Raw genomic sequence first — 23,979 nt, 5'->3', positions numbered from 1 at the left:
GATACCTGTGCCATCTAGTTGAAAGAGTTGTCTGTGAGACTATGTTTGTGAGACTATGTCCTTTTAGCTTCCATCCCTTTAATAAAACTGCCTTCTCAAAGATGTTTTCATTTCCCTAGGGACGGAAGTTGTATCAACCTTGCTTATTGCTGTATCTCTAGATGTCTATCACAATATCTAGAACAAAGTAGACACTCAAAAATGTTTGTTAATAGAATTATGATAAATAATTGCTAAGTTCATTGTTCCTTTATTCACCCTCTTTTGTGTCCCTGAAACATTGCTAACTGTATCAAACACCTCATCCCTCCTGAAATGTCCCTTATTAATAGCATCTCTGATACTACACTACATGTGTTTTAGTCTCACCTCTTCATCCTTTCCTTCTTGCCTTCTTGGTATCTTGGTCTCTTCTTCCTACATCCTCAAATACATGTGTTACCCAAGATTCAATGCACGATTGTCTTCTCTGTATTCTCTACAGGCTAGGTTATGCAACTCATTCCAGTGATTTCCATTAGAAGCATTACCTAGATAACTTCTGGATTTATGTTTCTTGTCCCATTATTGCCACCTCTCAATGCTCAGTCTCGCATGTCTAGGAGATTTCTGGATATTTTCTATCATTAGCCCTCAAATATCTTCAAGTCAAATTGCCAAAAGTGAACTCATTATTTCCTTTTGCTCCCGAACCAGTCTTCCCATATCTTCAGTATCCTTCGCAACAGCAATATTTGTCTTACTAAGCTTCCCTAAACCTTCACAGAAAACCCATTATAAAATCTGGTCAAATCAATTCTGTGGAATCTTTATTATGTGCCTCTTTTTCTCTTTCCACTGTCACATCCTAGTTCAGACAACTGATGCTGTTTGGATTACAGCATTTTCACTGTTGTCACATCTTGAGGTTCTCCCCGTGGGCCACCATTACGATGAAAGGGAAGGGAGAAGGAAACTAGCATGATATGTCCTTGGAATTTTAATCTATTCGAGAAATGCAAATATGAATCGATCTTCAAGATTTTTACTCTTTAATGGGAAATAGGCGTATATACAAAAGACTGCAATAAGTTACGGCAAGTCTAAGACCAAATTATCCATAATGTGTTCTGAGGAAATCACCTAGATTAGAGGGTCTACATGGAGTCAGGCTTTTTTCCCCTCACTCACACTTCTTCCTACCTAGAAGACAGAAGAGCATCTGTATGAGTTGAACCAAGGACACAATTCAGGCACAGTGTTTTTCAGCCCAAACAGCCATAAGGAAGGCATCAGTGACCTCTGTTAGGGTTGTCTTCGTGAAGTAGGGATTAGGAAAGTCAGAAAGCAGTGGGGTGATTTCTGAGCTACACGAAAGAAGTAGAGACAAGGACTGTGGTAGATGCCATGATATACTGCCAGATATCTTATCAGAAATATCATCAGAAGAATCTTCCCCCTAGGTTCTGGGAGTACTGCCAGAAGACACACCTCAGCTGTCAACCCTCTTTAAGGATTGCCTCAGCTGAAGAAAATTATTATGCCCAAGGTCATGCTTTCTTTCTGGGGCTGTGCATGTTCAATGTTGATCAATAGAAGGGTGGGAAGGCCTAGTTTCATTAGCCCAACATGGGCCATTTCAGCTCCAGAACTCCAGAGTCTCCCATAGGGTGACCTGAGGCCTTTGTTGGGGCCACGTCACAACTCAACATCTCTTTATGTCCAACCCAGCTTTATGCCCTCTAGCCTTCCTGTTAGTGAATGCCTCCAAAGGAACCAAACCTGTGACCGCTGATACCAGGAGTGACCCAAGAAACTAAAATGAGATTTTGGAGCCCTATAAATTGTGGTAGGTAGAGTATTGAATGTCCCTGGAGCATAGTAGCAGGGCAGCTGTTAAAACTTTGTTTGATGATGAATTGGGATGGTACGAGAATGAAAGGACATACAGTGGCTGGCACAATGTGTCAAGAGTTTGAGGAATATTGGGGAAATGATAACTCTAAGGACAATGGCATTGGGTGACTATTACTAAGCCTACTTTATGCTCTGGTGAGAAGATAATAAAACATTGATAGTTATTAGTAGGTGATTCAGAACCAACTGTAAAAACCAAAGGGATTCTTATCTCCTGCAGTGGGTTGTCAGAGAAAGATGATGAGGCACAGGAATGTGAGAGTAAGCATCCGCAAGCACTAGAGAAAACAACAATTCCAACAAAACAGGTCTGTTATGCCAAGGTCACGTAATAATTAAGAAAAAAAATGGGACCCTGACACATGGGATAAGAACATTAATGTGGACTCACCTGAAAATCTTGAAACCCTGGATTCCCGCGAACCATATGAGCTTGCAAAAGCAGCTTATTCCTCCTTATTAAGAGATACCAACCCCCCCGCCACACACACACACCATTGATTGAAGATAATTCAGAGGCCTATTTCCTACAAGATAAAATGCACCTCCACTCAGCATCTGCTCCCCACTACCTACCCTTTTTGCCACTAAGCCAATCACTAATGTTAAGTCAAAATATAACCCAGTTGGAGAAACCGTGCCTGCAAATAAAGGAAAGAGACTATATCTAAAGGGAACTACTGAACCTAGCCAACATAATTCAATAATAAATGGGAAAGTACACATAAACTAGATTCTTAGGGTGCTGGATCAACGAGTGTCAGATATACACTTGCATAAAAGAAGGTGCAGTCATTAACCACATAATGACGTTTTGGTCAACTACAGACTGCACATGTGACAGTGGTCTTATAAGATTACAAAGCCAAATTTTTACTATACTTTTTCTATGTTTACATACCCAAACTCCTACCATTGTTTTACAATTGCCTGTGGTATTTGATACAGTTACATGCTGTACACATTTGTAGCCTGGCAGCACCAGGCTACATTATATAGCCTAGATGTGTGGTAGGCTATACAATTGAGGTTTGTGTAAGTACACCCTATGATGTCTGCACAACAGTGAAATTGCTTGACAACACATTTCGCAGAATGTATTCCTGTCATTAAGCAAAGTATGACTCCCTATTGATATGGGAGCACTCTCCTAAGATATAAGAGTCGATACCTTGGTAAGTTGTTCAGGGATGGTACAGGCATGCCAAAAGATGGCTTTTCTAAGTGTGGAAAAGTCACTGTACCACACTAAATTAAATGAAAAACTAGAATTGTTATGGCAGGGTAATAGGCTAAAGAAAGAAAAAGCTTGAAAAAGTGGGCATGTTAAAGTGGGTATACTATAAAAGACTACAAAAGTCACCAGAGAACAATATTCAACAGGAGAACCTAGATGATACACCATTTACACAAGCAATAAGGAACGTGCTAGTGAGAGAGTCACAAAGATCACCACATTCAGTGGTGTGGGCCAAGGCTCATGGTGGAAGATCCCTTACCCAAATGTTCTACTAGTAATAAAAAACCTAAAAGATCCCCCAAACAAGACAGGGTAGGTGGCATCTTACTTCTCAGAACTAAAATGAGTTCAATTATCAAAATGAGTTTTAGATAGCAAGAACTTGCCTCTCCAAAAAAAAAGGAAAAAAAAGAAAAAATTAGCCAAGTGTGGTGGTGTGCAACCATAGTCCCAGCGACTTAGGAAACTGAGGTAGGAAGATGGCCTGAGCCTGGGAGTTCAAGGCTACAGTGAGCCATGATCACGCCACTGCACTCCATCCTGGGCAACAAAGCAAGACACTGTCTCAAAAAAAAGAGAAAGTCAAAAGTAGTAACAAGATGGCAGAGACCATCTGCAGGGCCTGACCCTCTGAGAATCATGGAGGTAGTTAATAGAGCAAAGTTTTCATTAAAGCAAAATAGATAGAGAGGCATTAATGGTACTGCCCAACCTGTGCAATCAGGAGCAATGAAACAGAAAAGATTAGGAGGCAAGAAGCAATTGTCCCCCAAAGAATATCATAATCTTTTTCCCTCATTCCAAACCTGAGATAGATTTTGGACCCAATACCAAGTACTGAACTCACCACGCGAGTTGATCAGCATTGCACAACTGGTAAGTATTAAAGAAAGGTTTTAAACAAATTCTGATTATGTGATACCACTACTTAACAGCTTTCCCACGGCCACCTCTACTTCTTGCTGTGGCCTCAGAAGGCCCCTGGAATATGGTTTCAATTTATCTATTCAGAATTGTTTTGTAGATGACTTTTTCACAGTAGGAACACTTTGGTTATACTGTACTCCTCAAATCACCTTCCATGATTGCTTCCAAACTCCTCCCTGTTCATTGGCTCCTGCCATCTTCTCACATGGAGCATAATTTCTCCAACGAAGCTCAATCAGGAGAGAAAAAAATGAAGGCCATCTCTTTCATGAAAACCTGTGAGGTTTATGAACAAAAAGTGATTATTCCCACGTTTAAATTATTGTCATACTTATACCTCTCTTATGAGACATTGCTGTGCTTGAGTAACAGTACCAGATGGTAAGTTCTGGGAACAGAAGGTCTTTACCTAAGCTCCACACATAGTATAGAAACCACCAGTAGTAAATTACCAATAAATATGGTCCAAACAAATGACTGGTGGATAAATAAGCATTGTGTGAAAATATAAAAGCTGTGTACAAATAAAAAATATTATGATCTATGTTTTAAGCTCTAAAGATTTTATTCAGCAAATAAATAAAATAGACTCTCACCTGAGACAGACCCAAATTTAAATCCTTGTTTTATAAGATTTGCAAGATAATTATTTCCTCAGAACTTCAGTCCCCTGACTTATCAACCCATATAGGGTCCCCACTAACTCTGAACGGAATACATACATTGACTTATCAGCCCAGAAGTTGCTCAAGAAGACGTATCTTCTTCTATATGCTTCACTCTTCCTCTCTTTAACTCCTTTAACTTCCCTTTGCTTATGAGAACATTTATAACTGAAAGTACATGTATGTTGGTTTTCATGAATCCAAATGTCATATATAACAATCGGGGTACCATCTGGTATTCATTTCTATATACAAATGATCATGTTAATCTATGACATCATACAGATATTTTAACTTGCTGTGTATCTTTTTTTAAGTTTATGGAGTAAAAAGTCTGCACTAGATGATCTGTAAGGCCCCTTAATAATGTCTATAAATCTATACAAAAAAGGTCATCCTTTATATCTCTGGCATTAAGATTTGCATATTGATTCATAAAGAATCATAAGCCTATAAGTAGAAAAACACAGAAGTGTAAAAAAATCAGCTAAAAATAAAGTAATTCTAAGGTAGCAATAGGCAAATAACCATAACAATGTTCACCAACTCATCTATTTCCTTTTGAGATTATCTATGTTTAAGAGGTGAAAAATCCAACCCATTGCACTAGAAGCATTGTGCTACAGTATTTCATGAGGTTCTTTATTGCCACTCTATATTCCTAGCAAACTAAACAGGGAGCAAAAGCAGTCACTTTTCCAGGCTCTGTGCTCAGAGGCTCTATGCTCAGGAAATCTTTTATCTTCCACTGTCAATCAATCCTTCCTTCCTTCCTTCTACTTTCACATTCTTTCTTAAGAACTCTACGAAATGTCTTTTCTTTTTTTTTTTTTTTTTTTTTTGTAGCCAATGCACAATTTAATTCCAAAACATAGGTCAGCTTCTTACTTTGGAATGTTATAGTTTTAATTTAAATTATTGCCAATATTTATTTATTTATTTATTTTTTTAATGTTTTTTTTTTAATTATACTTTAAGTTTTAGGGTACATGTGCACATTGTGCAGGTTAGTTACATATGTATACATGTGCCATGCTGGTGCGCTGCACCCACTAACGTGTCATCTAGCATTAGGTATATCTCCCAATGCTATCCCTCCCCCCTCCCCCGACCCCACCACAGTCCCCAGAGTGTGATATTCCCCTTCCTGTGTCCATGTGGTCTCATTGTTCAATTCCCACCTATGAGTGAGAATATGCGGTGTTTGGTTTTTTGTTCTTGCGATAGTTTACTGAGAATGATGGTTTCCAATTTCATCCATGTCCCTACAGAGGACATTAACTCATCATTTTTTATGGCTGCATAGTATTCCATGGTGTACATGTGCCACATTTTCTTAATCCAGTCTATCATTGTTGGACATTTGGGTTGGTTCCAAGTCTTTGCTATTGTGAATAATGCCGCAATAAACATACGTGTGCATGTGTCTTTATAGCAGCATGATTTATAGTCATTTGGGTATATACCCAGTATTGGGATGGCTGGGTCAAATGGTATTTCTACTTCTAGATCCCTGAGGAATCGCCACACTGACTTCCACAATGGTTGAACTAGTTTACAGTCCCACCAACAGTGTGAAAGTGTTCCTATTTCTCCACATCCTCTCCAGCACCTGTTGTTTCCTGACTTTTTAATGATTGCCATTCTAACTGGTGTGAGATGATATCTCATAGTGGTTTTGATTTGCATTTCTCTGATGGCCAGTGATGATGAGCATTTTTTCATGTGTTTTTTGGCTGCATAAATGTCTTCTTTTGAGAAGTGTCTGTTCATGTCCTTTGCCCACTTTTTGATGGGGTTGTTTGTTTTTTTCTTGTAAATTTGTTTGAGTTCATTGTAGATTCTGGATATTAGCCCTTTGTCAGATGAGTAGGTTGCGAAAATTTTCTCCCATGTTGTAGGTTGCCTGTTCACTCTGATGGTAGTTTCTTTTGCTGTGCAGAAGCTCTTTAGTTTAATTAGATCCCATTTGTCAATTTTGGCTTTTGTTGCCATTGCTTTTGGTGTTTTGGACATGAAGTCCTTGCCCACGCCTATGTCCTGAATGGTAATGCCTAGGTTTTCTTCTAGGGTTTTTATGGTTTTAGGTCTAACGTTTAAATCTTTAATCCATCTTGAATTGATTTTTGTATAAGGTATAAGGAAGGGATCCAGTTTCAGCTTTCTACATATGGCTAGCCAGTTTTCCCAGCACCATTTATTAAATAGGGAATCCTTTCCCCATTGCTTGTTTTTCTCAGGTTTGTCAAAGATCAGATAGTTGTAGATATGCGGCATTATTTCTGAGGGCTCTGTTCTGTTCCATTGATCTATATCTCTGTTTTGGTACCAGTACCATGCTGTTTTGGTTACTGTAGCCTTGTAGTATAGTTTGAAGTCAGGTAGTGTGATGCCTCCAGCTTTGTTCTTTTGGCTTAGGATTGACTTGGCGATGCGGGCTCTTTTTTGGTTCCATATGAACTTTAAAGTAGTTTTTTCCAATTCTGTGAAGAAAGTCATTGGTAGCTTGATGGGGATGGCATTGAATCTGTAAATTACCTTGGTCAGTATGGCCATTTTCACGATATTGATTCTTCCTACCCATGAGCATGGAATGTTCTTCCATTTGTTTGTGTCGTCTTTTATTTCCTTGAGCAGTGGTTTGTAGTTCTCCTTGAAGAGGTCCTTCACATCCCTTGTAAGTTGGATTCCTAGGTATTTTATTCTCTTTGAAGCAATTGTGAATGGGAGTTCACTCATGATTTGGCTCTCTGTTTGTCTGTTGTTGGTGTATAAGAATGCTTGTGATTTTTGTACATTGATTTTGTATCCTGAGACTTTGCTGAAGTTGCTTATCAGCTTAAGGAGATTTTGGGCTGAGACGATGGGGTTTTCTAGATAAACAATCATGTCGTCTGCAAACAGGGACAATTTGACTTCCTCTTTTCCTAATTGAATACCCTTTATTTCCTTCTCCTGCCTGATTGCCCTGGCCAGAACTTCCAACACTATGTTGAATAGGAGCGGTGAGAGAGGGCATCCCTGTCTTGTGCCAGTTTTCAAAGGGAATGCTTCCAGTTTTTGCCCATTCAGTATGATATTGGCTGTGGGTTTGTCATAGATAGCTCTTATTATTTTGAAATACGTCCCATCAATACCTAATTTATTGAGAGTTTTTAGCATGAAGGGTTGTTGAATTTTGTCAAAGGCTTTTTCTGCATCTATTGAGATAATCATGTGGTTTTTGTCTTTGGCTCTGTTTATATGCTGGATTACATTTATTGATTTGCGTATATTGAACCAGCCTTGCATCCCAGGGATGAAGCCCACTTGATCATGGTGGATAAGCTTTTTGATGTGCTGCTGGATTCGGTTTGCCAGTATTTTATTGAGGATTTTTGCATCAATGTTCATCAAGGATATTGGTCTAAAATTCTCTTTTTTGGTTGTGTCTCTGCCCGGCTTTGGTATCAGGATGATGCTGGCCTCATAAAATGAGTTAGGGAGGATTCCCTCTTTTTCTATTGATTGGAATAGTTTCAGAAGGAATGGTACCAGTTCCTCCTTGTACCTCTGGTAGAATTCGGCTGTGAATCCATCTGGTCCTGGACTCTTTTTTGTTGGTAAACTATTGATTATTGCCACAATTTCAGAGCCTGTTATTGGTCTATTCAGAGATTCAACTTCTTCCTGGTTTAGTCTTGGGAGAGTGTATGTGTCGAGGAATGTATCCATTTCTTCTAGATTTTCTAGTTTATTTGCATAGAGGTGTTTGTAGTATTCTCTGATCAACAAAATTGATAGACCGCTAGCAAGACTAATAAAGAAAAAAAGAGAGAAGCATCAAATAGACACAATAAAAAATGATAAAGGGGATATCACCACCGATCCCACAGAAATACAAACTACCACGAAATGTCTTTTCAATGCCATTATATTTCATTGCTTTGGAGTGAATAGCTGAAAAAAAATTGATGCCCTGTCTCTCATTAGCTAGTTACATTTTTGATAACCCCTGGATTTCAAGAATGACTCCCCCAAGAGGAAGTTGCAGGATTAATTACCAATCCTTAGTAAAATTCATATTAACATATAATAAGAAAACAAAAGAAACCAGTTAAGATCCTCATATCGTAGTGGATTGATTAGGTCACATCCAGTGAAGAGTTAAGAATAAGCATTAGAAACCTGTCAACAAAGAGATGAGGAACGAAACTTCTGTGTATTCATTTGAATACATTGAATTCATTTTCATTATCTGAAAAAATGTCACTTTTTAAATTGCAAAGAGAAATTGCACTTGAAGTTTCGTGCTTATTCATTAATATTCTAATCTGTGAATGTATGGAACAGGCAAACAGAAAGCAAGCAGGATTTATGAGAAATGAAGGCTTAATAATGTCAAATATGAATTTTATTGTAAAATTCTTTAGTTCATTAAAAACTAGGCAGCTGGGGAAAAATGCTGAACAAGCACAACTTTAAAATTAACAATTCTTATTGGCAGTGAATGACACCAAAACAGGGAGAAAAAAATGGAAAGATAAAATTATGTATGACAACTCCATTGAATATTAATTATTTATGTAAAAGAATTACTCTTTTTCTAAGGAAAATAAACTCTTTTGATTCATGTTAGTTCTTCTTGGTACCACCTTTTAAACTGGGATTTCAAATATTGTATTCATATTTAAAAATTAAGGAATATAAGGAATTTGATGATTAGCACCTTAAACTTTTCACTTTCATTACATGTTCATTCCCTCCTCCCAGTAAACCTTGCGACAAATTATAAAATATCCGGAATTTGGAAAATTCTCTGGTAATGTGCTTGGAAGAGATTAATGTCTCCATCTGCAAACGTGCATAAAGGCAGCAAGATTCCCAAAATGCTCTGGATATACAAAATGCTGAAATGCAGAGAAATTACTGCATAGTGTTCCTTTTTGGCGCTCAGATTCAAGATGAAAATGGGCTGTGGTTTGATAGTTCAAAATTAAGTTTTGGCAAATTAGATCTAATCATTGCCCTATTTCCAACTCAACTGTCAGCATAAAGTCCTCAGTGAATTCATAGTTCAATGAGCAAAACAAGATACAATATAATATATACATAAACACAAAAATATATGTATTGTTCAAAATTTCATGTTCTCATTTCATTTCAATATTTCATATTGTTCAACATTTCATGAGTACCTACCATGGGCCAGATGCTATACTTTGTGTTGGAGGTTGAAGAAAGGAAATAAAAATATTGATTTTACTCAAGGACTCAACTGGTGTCAGGATTGTGTTAGTAACCATGAGAATAAAGTTATACTCTTTAGTGCTAACAAGTCTCAGAAGAGGAAAAGCCAGAGGAAGAAAATGGATTTGTAAATAGATAGAGATAAAACTTATGTGACTTTCCTGTCTTAAAAAATAGAATATTAAAATAAGGCTGCTAGGGGAAGACATCAATTAACTTAAGAAATGGAAGGGGCCTTAGAAATTATTTACTGAAGTCCATCAATTTTACCAATGAAAAAACGAAATCTAGGGATATAAAATGAATTGGTAAAACTCATAGAGCTTTGCCCATAACTTGTTATCTGTGTAAATTTGGGTAGGTTAGTTACCTCTCTGAGTCTCAGGTTCAGGATCTGTAACATAGCAATAATAATAATGTTGGATTGTTGTGAGTACTGAATAATGAAATATACACAAAGAGGTTGAAATAGTGCCTGGCACATAGTAAGTACTCACTAAAAGTAAACTCTTAACCACGTTGCTGTTGGCAAGAGGGCCAGAACTTGATTTTGATGATTCTGTCAAAAACTCTGTTCATGCCACACTTCCCTCAAGGCATGGGAGTTGACTTTAACACTTGCATAGCACAGCTCCAAAATGGCTCTGCAATAGTATTTTATTAGTCAAAGTGCTTAATAAATATTTAAACAAGGAAAATTATAGGAAAGCAATATTAGAGCCAGAAGCAAAAGTGTGGGAGGAGAGGTCAGTGAGTTTTAGGAAAACAATGAATCTCAAAGTTCTTACTTCATCTAATAGGAGCAGGCATAAATAGGGGATAGACTCACTTTAAAAAACTGTAGGCAACCACAGGGATCACCTGGAGATATGAAAGGAAGAGAAAACGCTGATCTCTTTAGTTTTTATTTTACTTTTCCATCCTCTTTCAGAACGATGAAACAACACTGGTATAGACAAATTGAAATCCAACCTAAGTGAGCCCTTGAGAGAGTACCTTATCTCTCTTGATAAAAATATAATATGCTAGGGATTTTGAAAAGCTTTTATGTTCCTTCACCAGAAAATTATTAGAGCCATTTAGTGTATATAGTATATGGTAGTAATTGAGAACAGAGACTTTAGGGTCAGATAAGAAATCACATTGAACAAAAGCTCTACTCAGTTCTATGTAAGAGGGGGTTAGCAATGGTACCTCCTTCACAACAGATGTTCAAAGGATTAAGCAAGTTAATGTCTGAAATACGTATCACATAATGAGAGAGTCATCAGAAGTACACAAATGTTAATAATTCCAAAATCTATAGTAGATACTAGTCAAATAATAATAATGTTTAACCTACCTGATGATTTAAAAATTAAAATAAAAAAGAAGTGAAGTCTTACTTCTCAAAGTTGTATCATCCAAAAATTAAACCATGACAGTTTTTCAGGAGTGTTTAAAGGCTGGTCCAAGGACAGGGAGAGGGTCAGTGCAGGTGGCACTCATGACGGAGGAGAGAACAGCATATGGGAATAGCAAGAGGGAATATGCAGGAGGTAATATGCGGACAAGGAAAGGAAAGATCACTCTACCCAGAAACTGTACGTGGAACGAAACTAATTCTAAGGAGATCATGTTATCAAAAACTGAAAGAGGGAAAAAAGCCTTAGAGATGCTTTCCTTGAAAAAATATTAAGTATCCTAGCAACACTTCCTATATCAAATTGCAATTTTAATGGATAAATCTGTAACTAAATTAAAATCTGTAGGAGAAAAATTATATTAGGAAAAAATGCCATCACTACAGACATTCCAGGAAACCCAGTGGTTTTGTGAAGCAGTCTTGGGAGAGGCAGGCTACCATTATCCAGAATCATTATAGGAAATCACTGTCAGAAGTGGGAAGGCACTTTTCATCCTGAGCAGGCAGCTTGTCTTGAGGATATCACACCTTAAACAAAGTTTTACCTGGATCTCCCTTTCTAGGAGGGAATAATATGACCAATGCCTCCTCTTAGTAGATGAAAATAAAACCTGGATTTTAGCAGAAAATATCCAAGACTAAACCCCAAATAATGCAAATCTTCACAGATAATATTACACTATAGCAACAGTTGTGTGGTATTCTTGTTTTCTAGGAGCCTATTGGTTATCAATCAATAACTATCTGAAAGTATATGCTGTTTACATGTAAATCTTCAAATCTACTTTTTTTGGAGACCCCAAAAGGTTAATCAGTATTTTTGAAATAGTACAGTTGATGAAGTAATGAAAAATTAGTAATCTTTGTAAATTAACCTTTCACAGAGTTGAGTATTTTTTTAATTAAAGATCATCCATTGAGTGGATTAGTTACTAAGTCATCACCATCACAAGCCCTAGTAAAAAGCGAGAGTCATCACGTGTATTCAGTCTACATATTTATTTTGAGTAATTCTTGTGGCATCATTAACAAATGTGATTTGTCTGCAAAGATCCCAAGCCCTTCCAGAGAGATTTGGGATTTTTAAATCCCGCTCTCAATAAGCTGCCATTTGTATAGCTAAACACAAAGAGAGAGGAGCCGTGGTCAATCCCAAACTGTGATGATGTCCTTGAAGAGGAACAGAAGCTCCTGGAAGCAGGGAAAGCAAGAACACTGTGCCTGCCTTTAGCTAAAAAGAAACAGTTATTGAGGTAAGTAAAAAATGTATCTCAGCCTCCCCAGGAATTTTGTGAGAATCTAGACAAATTTGACAGAGACAGCTGCAGAACTTTATAGTTGACAATTAAGAAGTGCTGAGACTCACTGGTGTAAAACTGCAGCATTAAGGACCTGAAGCTGCAAAAGCAGCTGTAACAGCCTCCCAGCTCAGCACTTTCCCTTCCAGCCAGCCACTACCAAGCCATGAGCAAGAGCCCAGAAGAGGAGCTGGCAAGGCCACCAGATCTGGTATACATTCAAAAAACAAAAGCCACCAGACTGACCTCTGTGACTTTCGAGAAAGTCTCTGCAGATACATGGAGAGAGTGGAGACAGTTGTTTTCTCAATTGATTATGCATTATTATGTATGAAGACAAAAAAGATGTCCAGCATTTGGAGTAGGGGTCAGAAATTTTTTTCTCTAAGGAGCTAGATAATAAATATTTTAAGGTTTTTGAAACAAGAGGCAAACTTGAGGATATTGTATAGCTACTTATATAAAACAGGGAGAAAAAAATCACAAATATTTTATAGAAGAAATGCAAAACTCTATTTATGGACACTGAAATTTGGATATTTGTTGCAAAATACTATTCTTTTTATTTTTTTCCACTATTTAAAAATATGAAAATCATATCTTATCGAGTGTACAAAAACAGCTACTGGGCTGGATTTGGCTCCTGCACTGTAGTTTCCAAACCTCTTATTTATTACATAGCCTAGCTCATAAAAAGTTATTAACAAATGCTACTAATTCTTATTATTTAAAATTATTAATACTTAATAAAATATTATTGCACATCGTTGTTTCCCAATCAGAATTTCTCCTGATCTACTAAGGCATGGTAAGCAATGCAGATGTTCATCTGGATACAACCATGAGGGCTCTGAACCAAAATGCAAACATGTAAAAACAATGCGTTCTCAGGTAAGTACTTAGAATAAGTTGGCATTTATTTCTCCCACAAGCACTCATTAAATGCAAGTATACATCAAGCAGCCTATACTGAGAATTATAGCACAAATAAAACCATATCCTTATCTTAGAATTTCTTACAGACTAAGATTGAGGTTAGATGTATAAATAGGTACATGATAACTGGATGTGACAAGGTGGTAATTGCCCAAGTAGAGGTTTGAAGAAGAACATTGTGAAAGCATAATCCATGAAGAGCTTCTCTCAGGGAAATATATGAATTTTCAGATCAAAACCTGAAGTTAAGACCAATTAAGCTCCATCAGTAGAATTTTAGACTTCAGCCAGATATTTGAAAGGCAGGATTTGAGAAGCATTTTCTCTAATCCTCAAACCATATTAGAGCAATAGGAGAGCTCAGGCAGAGGATTAGCCTTGGAGACAAGGATAGATAATCTTCCTTACTCAGAGAAGAAAAAGAAGGAAGATAGGTAAATAAAGGGAATGGGTTTTGAGGCTGAAAATTTGGAAATCAATGTTATTCTGTTTGGACTGTTCTCAGGAGACAGTAATGAATAAAATAAAAATGATTGGGTTAGACTGCTGTGGTCATATGCTGGCCAGAAAACCAAATCTCATGACTGACAGCTATGCATAGCCTAGCAAGATACAAAGTCATTGCAACCATGTATAGAGATGGGTAACTTTATTCATAGCAAATGGCGGCAATTGGAGCACTGGCAAAGCACTCTAGAAAATCAAAGAAAGAAAGAAATGGGCTCAAGATTTTGAGGATTGTTGATATCAACATGGATAATCACATCTTGTATCTATACAGAGAGAGAGCAAAATATGGGTAATAAACTGGAAAAGCGATCACAACTCACATGCTTACTGCGTCAGGAAGAGGGAAAAATGAACAATAAAGTTTGAATATAAGACAGTAGTAAGCAGGGTTTATGGCAACTACAGGGGGTGAGCCCTGACTAAATGTGTTTATTAACAGATAAATAGGCAAAGTCTACTAGACAATACATCTACATTTAATTTAGATTACCGTAAGGTAAGCAGCATGTCTATTTATTGAAAGCTGGAAGGACAAGGTGCTGTATTCAGAGAAAAGAAAACCACACTTTGTTGTTTTCCTGAAATTCACATTTAACTGGGTATCATTTTATCTGACAACCATAATTACATGGCAAAAATATAGCAGTTTTGCAGGTATAATTAAGCTTTCTAATTGAGAGAGTTAGCTTTGAGTTAATCAAAAGAGAGATTATCCTGTGTGGGGTTCACTTAATCAGGTGAGACCTTTAAAGAAGGTGAAGTATCAGTGGGATTCTGCTGGCCACCAGGGCGAAGGATAAACCATGCTGTGAACTGCTTTAGAAAGGAGTGGCCTCTAGAAGCTGAGAGACTCAGTCCTACAACAAGATAAAACTCAATTCTGCCAACAACCACATGAACTTAAAAGAGTACCCACGCAAGCTTCAGATGAGACCGTAGCCCCAGTTGACACCTTGATTGCAGCCAGACAAGACCCTGAGCACAGGAATCAGCTAAGCAACACCCAGATTCCCAACCCACAGAAACTGAGATGCTAAATTTAAATTGTTTTAAGCCACTAAGCTTGTGGCAATTTGTTACACAACCGTCAAAAACAAATACAGAGAATTATCTCAGAATTTATTAGGGAATTTCAAAATTACAAATTTGAATTTTGAATCGGAGGCTGACTCGGCCATTTTCTAGGTTCGTTGAGTCAAAGTGATGCTGCTATTCTGAGAGAGTGGGATAAGTCTAACTTCGAATCTATGTTTTTCTGCTTCCTGAAAGTGAGGACTTTATGCCACATAGTCTAAAGATTTATACAATATAACAGAGGGTCATCATTCTTTGGTGGCTTAACTACCATCCAATCAGCATTTCCATCATAACTACAAGGGACAGAAATCCCTCCTTGCCCCTGAACATCTCTTGTTTCCCTTAGAGAAGGAAGATTATAGTTGCCAGCAAAACTTGACTGAACATAAAATAATACCCATCTCAAGGATTTAACAGCACTGTACTAAGTTTTTTTTATTATTTTTATACTTTACGTTCTGGGGTACATGTGTAGAATGTGCAGGTTTGTTACATAGGTATACATGTGCCATGTTGATTTGCTGCACCCATCAACTTGTCATTTACAGTAGGTATTTCTCCTAATGCTATCCCTCCGCCAGTCCCCTACCCCTCGACACGCCCCGGTGTGTGATGGTCCCCTCCCTGTGTCCATGTGTTCTCATTGTTCAACTCCCACTTATGAGTGAGAACATGCAGTGTTTGGTTTTCTCTTCTTGTGTTAACTTGCTGAGAATGATGATTTCCAGTTTCATCCATGTCGCTGCAAAGGACATGAGTTCATCATGAGTTCTCACAACTCTGCAAGGCTGGGATTATAATCTGCATTTTACTAATGAGGGAAGTGGTGTCAGAGAGATTAAATGACTTGGTGCAGGTCACACAGACAGTAAATCATGGAGTTGTAAAGTTTCTCATCAAAATCTGTGTATTCACTATTGTGAAAACAACCCTCCATTAAAATACGGTTCCCTCCTTCTTAAGCCTCCATCCACGATCTACCCACACACCATTCGGTGATTCATAATTGGACTTAACATTAGCATTAATCTTATAACCCAGGTTAGCAACGAATTTTTACCTATGCAGTAGGTGTTTTGTAGGTACAGTAGTCTGTCTATGCTCCACAGGTACTTGACACAATAAACATGTGGAAGTCTTGATAGTGGTAAATTTCTCTACCTGAAAATAGGTTTCTGCTGAGTATCTCAGTGCTCACCTAGACCCACAAAGCTTTAGCTTTTGGGTATAAGGAGAAATTAAATGAGCTCTGCAAAGAAAAATTACGAATGATTCCTGTATCCAATAACTACTCTCACATGCCCATGGCTTAATTATCCTCAGCATATTAATAATTGTGTTCACAATTCTTAAGAAATTATATTTTAATATCCTATAATTTATACTTCTAGATTTATAATTCTCTAGAAAAATGAGTAGTGCTTTTGCAACATTTGCTCTGGTAGACAAAGAGCTTAAAACAATAGGAAAACAGACTTTGAATATGGAAGTAATTCAGTAAGCTTGTGTCACATTTTATCAGATCCCAGGAGCAGGGGTGGTATTACTTTTTAAAATAATTTTGTTTACTTAATATTTTATATGCCTTAAGTAGATATTAACCAGCAAGAGAAGCATGTCTAATAGTGTACCAATGTTTTGATAATATTTTAATTCTGAATTTTATATCATGTAAAATATACATTTCTTTCAAAAATTATTAAAAGGTAGAGTAGTCTTGGAATAAATAAGCATATATACACATATAAAATAAATGTACACACACAGATATATCTTTAAACATATATGTGTGTGTGTGAGTGTGTGTGTGTCTGTGCCTGTATGTGATGTTAAATTCTCATGACTTCCCCAGATACTGACTAGTATGGCTTTCAAGTTCTAAATTTAGTTCATCTAATGGGAGTTTGTTGATTGATATAAAATTTACTTTGTCTCAATCCTCCATCCTGTTTTGATTTACAATAAAGCAAAAGAAAGAAAAAAAAAGAAAAGAGAAAAGCGCAAGGGCGCAGAGTTTTGCCTGTTTTACCTACAGGGGCAAAGTGTTCTCTATTTTATCTAATATATTTCAAGTATTGGAATGGTGTCTGGGACACAGTAGATATAGGCTAAATGAATATGTTAAATAAATGGCCTAAAAATTTAATCATTTTTCCATATGTGCAAACTGAGAATAGAAAGAAAAAAATGTTAAAGTGTTAGCAATACATTTGTTTTAAAATGAAAGATAAGTTAGTATTTGTGAGCTTTTCTCCTTCTGGATAAAGGTTTAGCCAACTTGTTTTATTTCAACTGGAACAAATATGAGGTACAATGATAGCAGACTACATGTTGTTTAAGTGTGAAATTGAATCATGTTCAGGGTTATCAGGAACACTATATTACAGCAGCTTGAGGATGGCTGGAAAATTAACATCTCTTTAGATTTTTTTTAGAATTTCTAAAAATGTGTTTTAATAACAAGAGTAACATTTCATGAGTTTTTCTGTATATACTGTATATGTAAAACATCAAGTAATAAAATCTTAATTTTTAAAATAAGAACAAGAGCATGCATTTACCCCGTAAGCATATGCAGCACTAGTTTCTGTTTTAATGTGGAAGCTACTTTGGTATAAGTAAACAATTACAAGCATAGTACTAACTAAACAAGGGTTTAAAAACAAAACAAAACATTTATCTTCCCTTAAGGAACATATTCTCCTTTCTCTAACTTCAGAAAAAATATTGACAAGAATTCCATCATAAGCATTTTATTAATGCATTGAAAAGGTATTAAACCCTACTTAGCTTACATGTGACACTGCAGAAAAAATGGCATTAATTACACCTTAAACTTGAAATTGTAATGATTAAGCCAAAAATTTTCATAATGCCTTCATTATTCAGTGTTGCAACTATTTCATAGAATTCTTTTCTGGTACATGTATGGTGAATTTATTAAGGCAGAGTGGTTCGTTGGTTAGACCATAAGAGTCTCATTTGAAAAATCAGAAATTTCCTCTAGCACTAATTGGAAAGTTAATCCCATAAAATTATTTTAATGGTCAATATCCTACCATTCTGCCTAATCTATCCAAAGGGAATAATATGGGGCCAATGAGTCAGAGGAGTGAGTCAGAACCACCAGGCTGTATGTGGTGGTGGAATCCTGCAAACAATTATTTTATTTCTAGACACCACTTACATAAATGATGCATAAGGTTATAACCCAGCATGAGACTCAATATTTTGACTTAAGAACAACTTTGTTCTTTCTTGCAGGACAATTAATATCTGGTTAGATGCCACTATAAATGATGAATTGCTTCTTAAAATGTTTGTGTGATGTCTTTTCACCTCTTCACTTTGGTGCTTTGTTGAACATAATTTTTTTATGAACCCTTGAGTGCCAAGATAGCAGTAAAGGTGCATTCAAGCACCTTGGGTATAGCCATGGGATATAAACCTAAGGCCAGACTTCTGCATCACAGCCGTAAATGAGATATAAAAAAGGAGGAAACAGAGAACCTGGTTTCAGGATTAACACTAAGATTCATGGTATTTTATTGAGGACATTTTTTGAATATGAGAAAGTTTTCTTTAGATGGTTTCCACTGACTTCCCTGTCGTTTGCATACCTCTTTATGTATGCCCTTGGCATTGATTAGCCTTGAAGTTCATGTGTCTGCAGACCCATATAAAAATGTATTATCTGTCAATATATGTGCTGCAGGGAAAATGTGCAGGCCAAGCTTTCTTATGCTATAAAAAGAAATTAGTGGCTTGAGCTCCAGGGGAGTTTCCAGTCTTCACAATAAATCATAGACACTTAGCTCAGACCTCCACAAACTTCTTCCTCCTGATAAGGCACATCGTACTGTTACTCCCTACTGTCACTCCCCAGTTGCTGAGATGAAGAACATATGAACTCTGGGAAGTGACATTTACCTCAAACAGTTCAAAATAAAGGGCCAGAAATATCCATAGGTCTGACAATCCCAAGACTAGCAATAAATGCCTACAGAACTGGTTAGAGGGAGCAGAATACAGATTTTATGAACAATTTCTTAACAATATAATGCAAAACAAAGCGTTACTCAGAATTTACACATCTGAATAACTTCCTGTAAAACTGAATTATGTACATTTCAAATTAACACAAAATCTGATTTCTGCTACTATTAGGTTGTATTCTAAGATGTCAGTCCAGATTTGAACAGTAAAAAAAAAAAATAATAATAAAAAAAAAAGAGTTTGAGCTCTTTGGGTAATTTCCATAGCATTAACCCCAGTGTTGAAGTACTGAAACCAAAAAGCAAATTCAAGAAACAGGAAATAAACTATTTACATTTGACTAAAGGAGAATATTTACATTTGACTAAAGGAAAGTAGCAAGGGTTACATGGCAATGTGACATGCTTCACAAGACTTCGCTCCCTTTGTAATGAATCTGAAGGTATTTTGAAGTAATACTGAAAGTAATTTTTTGCAAAATAAGATTTTATATAAAAGTGTTTTCTTAGAGAGATAGTAAATAGATAAATACAAAGCAAGCACATTGGCATAGGTATATTGCTTATTTTTATGAAGAAGAATTGGTCTTGTAGTTTCCTGCTCTGGGACAGGCAGGTACCAGAATACATATCTATCCATCTATTTAAGCACTGGCACATTCATTCCAGATAGAATCCTTACTTGAAAATTTCCACACTGGTGGAAAGGGAAGCCATAGCCTCTTCCACTCACCTTCTTACAGGTGGAAAAGACAATTGCAGAATCACTGATGGAATACAGAGCTTCAAAAAATCTTCAGGCAAAAAAAAAAAAAGAAAATGACTCTTGAGAATTTATACTGAAAGTTGCTGAATCTTTCCTGTTAGCATAAGTTATTACTGCACTTAATAGCTTTCCTGAAGTTGCTGTTTTATCCTATAGATGAAACTGTAATGAAAAGGTTAATCATAGCTCCGCAGGGTTTAGGATAGCTGCAAGCTATTAATGGTTTGAATGAAGTCCAGGTACTTCAAACCCTTTAGCATATTGACAAAAACCAGTTATTAACTGGGGGCATGTCCTAGATGCTAACAAGTACATGATAATGTCTACTCTGAACACATTCAGCTTTAAAATAAAACTTGAGAGAGTCAAAGAAATTATTCTGGCACCTATTTATTGCTAGCTGCATAAGTCAAACCTAATACTGTATAAACTAACTAGTATTTTTTTATTGCCTGACAATTTCTAGTGATAAGAGTGCCAGAGCTGAGGTCAGAATGCCTGAATAAGAAACTATGATTTGCAAATTGCTACCTATATGACCTTGGGTCAATTATTTCATCTCAATATACCTCAGTTCAGTTTATCCATAAAATGAAGCTAATTTAAGTACATAATCTTTAGGGCTATTGTGAGCATTAAATAAAGTAATCCATGGAAAGAGTTTACCATAGTACGTAACACACTAACATTCAATGAATGTCAGCAATTATTATTATTGTTAATATGATCATATTATTGAGTTACTCTCCTAGTAGGATGAGAATAAAAGATAACAACTTAAAAGGAACCTGAAACCCAACAGAAAAACTTATTTTTAAAAAACTATACATACAAAATTTCATTATAAATTTGTTCAGGACTGAAATGTATCAACACCCTCATTAGTCTCTAAAATTCTTAAGAAAACTCACTGCCCCTTCGCTATACATTTTACACTGCTGACTCAACTGTCCTCCAATGTGTATAAGGTTTCCATTATGGTTGTGGTTATTCACTGAACCATGTACAGCTTTATCATGATAACTAATGGCATGCATTTTTTCAAATAGTGACACTGTTCAAGGTAGGTCATAGTAGTTGGCTGGCAAGCATAATAGTAAACTGCTCCATTAAACAATGATAACCCTAACTGTGGCTTCCTTAGAGTACACGTTTTTGCATGTTTTCTTTAGAATGGGGCTAGTACCCATTTTTATGTTAATATCATCATAAGGTGTTAACTGTTATTAGCAAAGCACTTTCAAAGCAATAGTATTTATCCTCTTGGATCTGAATTGTTTATTACCTATTATCCATATGTATAGTCTTTCTTACTGAGTAACTAAATTATACATACTTGTGTAATTCTCTCTTTTTTTTTTTTTTTTTTTTTTGAGACGTAGTCTCGCTCTGTCGCCGAGGCTGGAGTGCAATGGTGTGATCTTGGCTCACTGCAAGCTCCGCCTCCTGGGTTCACGCCATTTGCCTGCCTCAGCCTCCCGAGTAGCTGGGACTACAGGCGCCTGCCACCATGCCCACCTAATTCTTTGTATTTTTAGTAGAGACGGGGTTTCACCATTTTAGCCAGGATGGTCTTGATCTCCTGTCCTCATGATCCACCCACCTCGGCCTCCCAAAGTGCTGGGATTACAGGTGTGAGCCACCACGCCTGGTAGTTCTCTTAAGTGCTTGCTAGCTTCTCACATTTAATGGTGCTTTTTTCTATGAAGCTCAAGCAAGCAGCTTAAAATAACAAATGAATGGATTTACCACTACAGAGAATCAGCATCATCAGGTAATGATAAATGAACTAATGATATTTCAGTCCTGAACATAATATTTGTCTTCCCCAATGCCAATCACTAATTGAGAACCACAAATTCATTTCATTTGTTTGTTGTGAGAGATATTCTCTTCAGTTGCCACACCCCTTGCTTAGAATGTGCTAGGATAAGAAATAGGACTTTGAGAAATGCAAGGGAAAACAGACCAAGAGGCATAAACTTTGACCTTAATTATTCTCAGGGGATATATTAAAGCTCGCGCATCTACTGATTGTCTTGTAGATAGAACATTCTGGAGCCAAAGCTCAATGAACAGACTCTCCCTTCCCCTCTTACATTGCCAGATTCAAAGCTTTGCTGTCTCCTACTCAAACCCATGTCAACATAGACCTGTCTAGAAAAGTAAGACTAGATGACAATAAATGGTAGACCATTCTACCTAAGACAGAGAAGGGAAGGTCAAGCAGCTCCTTGCAAGGAGTGGAAGGGAGTGAGTGATGAGGGAAAGAAGAAGAGATTGAAAAAGGATTAAAGAACTGCCAAAGTGGAGTTAAGGAGGAAAAAAAGCTAGAATGTGGAACAGACCAGAAGAAAGTGTCCCATGAGGTAGTCTCAGGTGGTATGAACACTTCATAGCTAAGGAAAAGCTGAATAGATGGAGGAAGATCCACCAAACTGACATTACTTTCACTTCGTTGGACTTAGATTGTACTTTTATTTGCATATAAGGTTTTTAAAACAGTTATCTAGTTAATAATCCCTCTAGTTGGACCCTAATTCAATATGACTGGTGCACTTATAAGAAGACGAAATTTGGACATAGTCAAGTGACCACACGGAGGAAAGACTATATGAAGACAGAGGAAGAAGCCAAAGAGAGCAGCAGCTTCGAAAGAAAACAAACCTGTGAACACCTTGATTTTGGATTTCTGGGCTCCAGAACTGTGAGTAAATAAATTTATGTTGTTCAAGCCACTCATACTCTGGTATTTTGTTGCAGCAGCCGTAGCAACTAGTACACATGGGATCTGATGCGTTTTTGTCTAAGTAACAGTAATATCATTTTACAATAGACATTACCACTCCATTATTCAGCTGTTAATACCTGGTGTGGGAATTTAACAAATACAGAGCACTACTATGTTTCAAGTATTGTGATACATGCAAAGGATGCAATGGTGAATATGACATTTTCTATGCTTTCAAAGTGCCTACAGTCTCATTGGGGAGATATGTGTAAAACCAGAAATTTAAATCAAACCTGGTCAGGGCTTTATGTACAAAGTGTGTAGGAGAATCAAGGAGCAAATAGCTGCCCAACCTTAATTGTTGAGGAAGACTCTGTGACATGGTGTGACAGAGAAACTCTCTAGTTAAAGTGCTCTCAGAAAGGAGATTGAAAAGCAAAGCCTAAAAGGTAGAGTTTCTGCTGCCATATGTAAAGATTGTATAAGTAATAGAGCTTTAAAAGCCTAGAGATTTAAAAGCTCTAATATTATTCAGGCTCAATATCTCTTGATGAAGCAGTATTTTGATATTTAAAATGTTAATAATATATGTTTTTACGTCTCTTGAGGCAATTCTTAACTCCTGTGCATTAGGATGTACTCTTGGCAGCTAACAGAAGCACCTGAATCACAGTTATTTCAAAATATATATGGGAACATATTGACTCATGCAGGTCAAAATCCCAGGCACATGTTTACTGCAGACACAGCTCCATTTAGGAACTCAACTGATAGCATGAGTACTACCACCCTCTCTCCCTTCTCTCTCTGTAGTCTTCTATCTATCTATCTATCTATCTATCTATCTATCTATCTATCTATCTTTCATGTATCTATGTATGTATCTATCTATCTATCTGTCTGTCTATCTTTTGACACTGTTTTCTTCTGGTTTATTTCATTCACATGCAATCTATATCACTACTGTGGCTCCTGGCACCCCTAAGTTTACCACATCATACTTAAAACTAATGATCCCCAAAGGCATAGAGCATCTCTAAATAGATCCACAAATTGTGATATTCTCCCTCAGACACTCATTATTTCACCTCTTCATCCTGAACCAAATGCTATGGCTAATGGGATAGCATAGAATTATTGATCAGACCTGGAACAGTCTCCACTTCAGGAACTGAGGGCGTAGAGCAGACAAAAGTCTAAATCCCACTTGAATCACATGGACTGAATTAAAGGGTGGTCCTTCAAAGAAATATTGTGGTGATGTCTAAAGTGTAATGGATGATGTATGGGAAAAAAATAGTTGA

At 36.8% G+C, this 23,979-nt stretch overlaps 1 long non-coding RNA gene across 1 annotated transcript in view; it reads left to right on the top strand.

Annotated features, from left to right (window-relative positions):
* The first annotated feature begins 12,567 nt into the window (after window positions 1–12,567).
* Window positions 12,568–23,979, top strand: part of LOC105374432 (uncharacterized) — a 59,764-nt gene continuing 48,352 nt past the window's right edge. The window contains exons 1-2 of the long non-coding RNA XR_925265.1: window positions 12,568–12,615; window positions 13,443–13,551. This is a non-coding gene — a long non-coding RNA (uncharacterized LOC105374432). The remainder of the gene's footprint in view (window positions 12,616–13,442; window positions 13,552–23,979) is intronic.

Source organism: Homo sapiens, chromosome 4 (genome assembly GCF_000001405.40).
Source record: "Homo sapiens chromosome 4, GRCh38.p14 Primary Assembly".
In the NCBI taxonomy this organism is placed as follows: Eukaryota; Metazoa; Chordata; class Mammalia; order Primates; family Hominidae; genus Homo; species Homo sapiens.
The sequence above is the reverse complement of the archived record's forward strand: the minus strand, read 5'-3'. Positions and strand labels throughout refer to the sequence as shown.